The sequence below is a fragment of the Homo sapiens genome, chromosome 4, assembly GCF_000001405.40.
Source record: "Homo sapiens chromosome 4, GRCh38.p14 Primary Assembly".
NCBI classification, from domain to species: Eukaryota; Metazoa; Chordata; class Mammalia; order Primates; family Hominidae; genus Homo; species Homo sapiens.
Genome location: NC_000004.12, coordinates 123,330,382 through 123,336,740, shown reverse-complemented (window position 1 = coordinate 123,336,740; position 6,359 = coordinate 123,330,382).

Genomic DNA, 6,359 nt, shown 5'->3' with positions numbered 1-6,359 from the left:
TTTTTTTTGTACTCCAGTGGCACCTGGAACCCCAGCGAGACAGAACCTTTCACTCTCCTGTAAAGGCGGCTGAAGCCAGGGAGCCAAGCAGTCTTGCTCAGTGGGTCCCACCCCCACGGAGCCCAGCAAGCCAAGATCCACTGGTTTGAAATTCTCGCTGCCAGCACAGCAGTCTGAAGTCAACCTGGGATGCTCGAGCTTGGTGGAGGGAGGGGCGTCCACCATTACTGAGGCTTGAGTAGGCGGTTTTCCCCTCATAGTGTAAACAAAGCTGCTGGGAAGTTTGGACTGGGCAGAACCCACCACAGCTTGGCAAAGCTGCTGTAGCCAGACTGCCTCTCTAGATTCCTCCTGTCTGGGCAGGGCATCTCTGAAATAAAGGCAGCAGCCCCAGTCAGGGGCTTATAGGTAAAACTCCCATCTCCCTGAGACAGAGCACCGGGGGGAAGGGGTGGCTGTGGGTACAGCTTCAGCAGACTTAAACATTCCTGCCTGCTGGCTCTGAAGAGAGCAGTGGATCTCCCAGCACAGCGCTTGAGCTCTACTAAGGGACAGACTGCCTCCTCAAGAGGGTCGCTGACCCCCGTGCCTCCTGACTGGGAGACATCTCCCAGCAGGGGTCGACAGACACCTCATACAGGAGAGCTCTGGCTGGCAACTAGTGGGTGCCCCTCTGGGACAAAGCTTCCAGAGGAAGGAATGGGCAGCAATCTTTGCTGTTCTGCAGCATCCGCTGGTGATACCCAGGCAAACAGAGTTGGGAGTGGACCTCCAGCAAATTCCAACAGACCCGCAGATGAGTTAAAAGACCAGCAGACTGTTAGAAGAAAAACTAACAAACAGAAAGTAATAACATCAACATTAACAAAAAGGACACCCATGCAAAAACCCCATCCAAAGGTCATCAGCACCAAAGATCAAAGGTAGATAAATCCACAAAGATGAGGAAAAACCAGCACAAAAATGCTGAAAATTCCAAAATGCTTCTTTTCTTCCAAAGGATCACAACTCTTTGCCAGCAAGGGAACAAACTGGAAGAAGAACGAGTTTGACAAATTCATAGAAGGAGGCTTCAAAAGGTGGGTAATAACAAACTCCTCTGAGCTAAAGGATCATGTTCTAACCCAATGCAAGGAAACTAAGAACCTTGATAAAAGATTAAAGGAATTTCTAACTAGCATAACCAGTTTAGAGAAGAACATAAATGATCTGATGGAGCTGGAAAACACAGCACAAGAACTTCGTGAAGCGTACACAAGTATCAATAGCCGAATCAATCAAGCAAAAGAAAGTATATCAGAGATAGAAGATGAACTTAATGAAATAAAGTGAGAAGACAAGATTAGAGAAAAAAGAATGAAAGGGAATGAACAAAGCTTCCAAGAAATATGGGACTACGTGAAAAGACCAAACCTATGATTGGTTGTTGTACCTGAAAGTGATGGGGAGAATGGAACCAAGTTGGAAAACACTTCAGGTTATTATCCAGGAGAACCTCCCCAACCTACCAAGACAGGCCAACATTCAAATTCAGGAAATACAGAGAACACCACAAAGATACTCCTGGAGAAGAGCAACCCCAAGTCACATAATTGTCAGATTCACAAAGGTTGAAACAAAGGAAAAATGTTAAGGGCAGCCAGAGAGAAAGACCAGGTTACCCACAAAGGGAAGCCCATCAGGTTAACAGCTAATCTCTCTGCAGAAGTCTTACAAGCCAGAAGAGAATGAGGGCCCATATTCAACATTTTTAAAGAAAAGAATTTTCAACTCAGAATTTCATATCCAGCCAAACTAAGCTTCGTAAGTGAAGGAGAAATAAAATCCTTTACAGACAAGCAAATGCTGAGGGATTTTGTCACCACCAGACCTGCCTTACAAGAGCTCCTGAAGGAAGCACTAAATATGGAAAGGAAAAACCAGTGCCAGCCACTGCAAAAACATACCAAAATATAAGGACCAATGACACTATGAAGAAAATGCATCAACTAATGTGCAAAATAACTAGCTAGCACCATGATGACAGGATCAAATTCAAACATAATAATACTAACCTTAAATGTAAATGGGCTAAATGACTCAATTAAAAGAACAGTCTGGCAAACTGGATAAAGAGTCAAGACCCATCGGTGTGTTGTATTCAGGAGACTTATCTCATGTGCAAAGACACACATAGGCTCAAAATAAAGGGAGGGAGGAATATTTACCAAGCAAATGGAAATAAAAAAAAAAGCAGGAGTTGCAATCCTAGTCTCTGATAAAACAGACTTTAAATCAACAAAGATCAAAAAAGACAAAGAAGGGCACTACATAATGGTAAAGGGATCAATGCAACAAGAAGAGCTAACTATCCTAAATATATATGCACTCAATACAGGAGCACCCAGATTCATAAAGCAAGTTCTTAGAGACCTACAAAGAGACTTCGACTCCCACACAATAATAGTGGGAGACTTTAACACCCCACTATCAATATTAGACAGATCAACGAGACAGAAAATTAACAAGGATATTCAGGACTTGAACTCAGCTCTGGACCAAGTGGACCTAATAGACATCTATAAAACTCTCCACCCCAAATCAACAGAATATACATTCTTCTCAGCAGCACATCGTACTTATTGTAAAATTGACCACATAATTGGAAGTAAAACACTCCTGAGCAAATGCAAAAGAGTGGAAATCATGACAAACAGTCTCTCAGACCACAGTGCAATCAAATTCGAACTCTGGATTAAGAAACTCACTCAAAAAAAAAAAAAAAAGGAAAAGAAACTCAAAACTGCACAACTACATGGAAACTGAACAACCTGCTCCTGAATGACTACTGGGTAAATAATGAAATTAAGGCAGAAATAAATAAGTTCTTTGAAACCAATGAGAACAAAGACACAACATACCAGAATCTCTGGGACACAGCTAAAGCACTGTTTAGAGGGAAATTTATAGCACTAAATGCCCACGTGAGAAAGCGGGAAACATCTAAAATCAACACCCTAACATCACAATTAAAAGAACTAGAGAAGCAAGAGCAAACACATTCAAAAGCTAGCAGAAGACAAGAAATAATTAATATTGGAGCAGAACTGAACAAGATAGAGACACGAAAAACCCTTCAAAAAATCAATAAAGCCAGGAGCTGGTGTTTTGAAAAGATTAACAAAATAGATAGACCGCTAGCCAGACTAATAAAGAAGAGAGAAGAATCAAATGGACACAATAAAAAATGACATAGGGGATATCACCACTGATCCCACAGAAATACAAACTACCATCAGAAAATACTATAAACCCCTCTACACAAATAAACTAGAAAATTTAGAATAAATGGATAAATTCCTGGACACATACACCCTCCAAAGACTAAACCAGGAAGAAGTCAAGTCCCTGAATAGACCAATAATGAGGTCTGAAATTGAGGCAGTAATTAATAGCCTACCAACCAAAAAAAGCCCAGGACCAGATGGATTCATAGCCGAATTATACTAGAGGTACAAAGAGGAGCTGCTACCATTCCTTCTGAAACTATTCCAAACAATAGAAAAAGAGGGACTCTGCCCTAACTCATTTTATGTGGCCAGCATTATCCTGATACCAAAACCAGGCAGAGACACAGCAACAACAAAAAATTCAGGCCAGTATTCGTGATGAACATTGATGCAAAGATCCTCAATAAAATACTGGCAAACCAAATCCAGCAGCACATCAAAAAGCTTATTCACCATGATCAAGTTGGCTTCATCCCTGGGATGCAAGGCTGGTTCAACATATACAAATCAATAAATGTAATTTATCACATAAACAGAACCAAAGACAAAAACCACATCATTATCTCAATTGATACAGAAAAGGCCCTTGATAAAACTCAACACCCCTTTATGCTAAAAACTCTCAATAAACTAGGTATTGATGGGACGTATCTCAAAATAATAAGAGCTATTTATGACAAACCCACAGCCAATATCATACTGAATGGGCAAAAGCCAGAAGCATTCCCTTTGAAAACCAGCAGAAGACAAGGATGCCCTCTCTCACCACTCCTATTTAACATAGTATTAGAAGTTCTGGACAGGGCAATCAGGCAAGAGAAAGAAATAAAGGGTATTCGAATAGGAAGAGAGGAAGTCAGATTGTCTCTGTTTGCAGATGACATGATTGTATATTTAGAAACCCCCATTGTCTCAGCCCAAAAACTCCTTAAGCTGATAAGCAACTTCAGCAAAGTCTCAGGGTACAAAATCAATGTGCAAAAATCACAAGCATTACTATACATCAATAATAGTCAAACAGAGAGCCAAATAATGAGTGAACTCCCATTCACAATTGCTACAAAGAGAATAAAATACCTAGGAATACAACTTACAAGGGCAACTTGAAGGATCTCTTCAAGGACAACTGCAGACCACTGCTCAAGGAAAAAAGAGAGGACACAAACAAATGGAAAAATATTTCATGCTCATGGATAGGAAGAATCAATATCGTGAAGTTGGTCATACTGCCCAAAATAATTTACAGATTCAATGCTATTGCCATCAAGCTACCATTGACTTTCTTCACAGAATTAGAAGAAAGTACTTCAAATTTCATATGGAGCCAAAAAAGAGCCTATATAGCTATGACAATCTTAAGCAAAAAGAACAAAGCTGGAGGCATCACGCTACCTGACTTCAGACTATACTACAGGGCTATAGCAATGAAAAAAGCTGGTAATGGTAGCAAAATAGATATAGAGACCAATGGAACAGAATAGAGGCCTCAGAAATAACACTACACAAGTACAACCATCTGATCTTTGACAAACCTGACAAAAACAAGCAACGGGGAAAGGATTCCCTATTTAATAAGTGGTGTTGGGAAAACTGGCTAGCCATGTGCAGAAAACTGAAACTGGACCCCTTTCTTACACCATATACAAAAATTAACTCAAGATGGATTAAAGACTTAAAACATAAGACCTAAAACCATAAAAACCCTAGAAGAAAACCTAGGCAATACCATTCAGGACATAGGCATGGCTGAAGACTTCATGACTAAAACACCAAAAGCAATTGCAACAAAAGCCAAAATTGACAAATGGGATCTAATTAAATTAAAGAGCTTCTGCACAGCAAAAGAAACTATCATCAGAGTGAATAGGCAGCCTACAGACTGGGAGAAAATTTTTGCAATCTACTCATCTGACAAAGGGCTAATATCTGAATCTACAAAGAACTTAAAAAAAATTACAAGAAAAAAACAAACAACCCCATCAAAAAGTGGGCAAAGGATATGAACAGACACTTCTCAAAAGAAGACATTTATGCAGCCAAAAAACATTATTAAAAAAAGCTCACCATCACTGGTCATTAGAGAAATGCAAATCAAAACCACAACTCATGCCATCTCATGCCAGTTAGAATGGTGATCATTAAAAACTGAGGAAACAACAGATGCTGGAGAGCATGTGGAGAAATAGGAATGCTTTTACACTGTTGGTGGGAGTGTAAATTAGTTCAACCATTGTGGAAGACAGTGTGGCAATTCCTCAAGGATCTAGAACCAGAAATACCATTTGACCCAGCAATCCCATTACTGGGTATATACCCAAAGGATTATAAATCATTCTACTATGAAAACACATGCACATGCATGTTTATTGCAGCACTATTCACAATAGCAAAGACTTGGAACCAACCCAAATGCCCATCAATGATAGACTGGATAAAGAAAATGTATCACATATACACCATGGAATAGTATGCAGCCATAAAAAAGAATGAGTTCATGTCCTTTGCAGGGACATGGATGAATCTGGAAGCCATCATTCTCAACAAACTAACACAGGAACAGAAAACCAAACACTGCCTGCTCTCACTCATAAGTGGGAGTTGAACAATGAGAACACATGGATACAGGGAGGGGAATATCACACACCAGGGCCTATTTGGGGGTAGGAGTAAGGAGAGGGATAACATTAGGAGAAATACCTAATGTAGATGATGGGTTGATGGGTACAGCAAACCACCATGGCACATGTATACCTATGTAACAAACCTGCACGTTCTGCACACGTATCCCAGAACTTAAAGTGTAATAATAAGGCCAGGCACAGTGGCTCTTTTATTACACCTGTAATCCCAGCACTTTGAGAGGCTGAGGTGGGCAGATCATGAAGTCAGGAGATCGAGACCATCCTGGCCAACATGGTGAAACCCCATCTCTACTAAAAATACAAAAATTAGTGGGTGTGGTGGTTAGTGCCTGTAATCCCAGCTACTCGGGAGGCTGAGGTAGGAGAATCACTTGTACCCAGGAGGCGGAGATTGTGGTGAGCTGAGATCACACCACTGCACTCCAGCCTGAGCGACAGAGTGAGACTC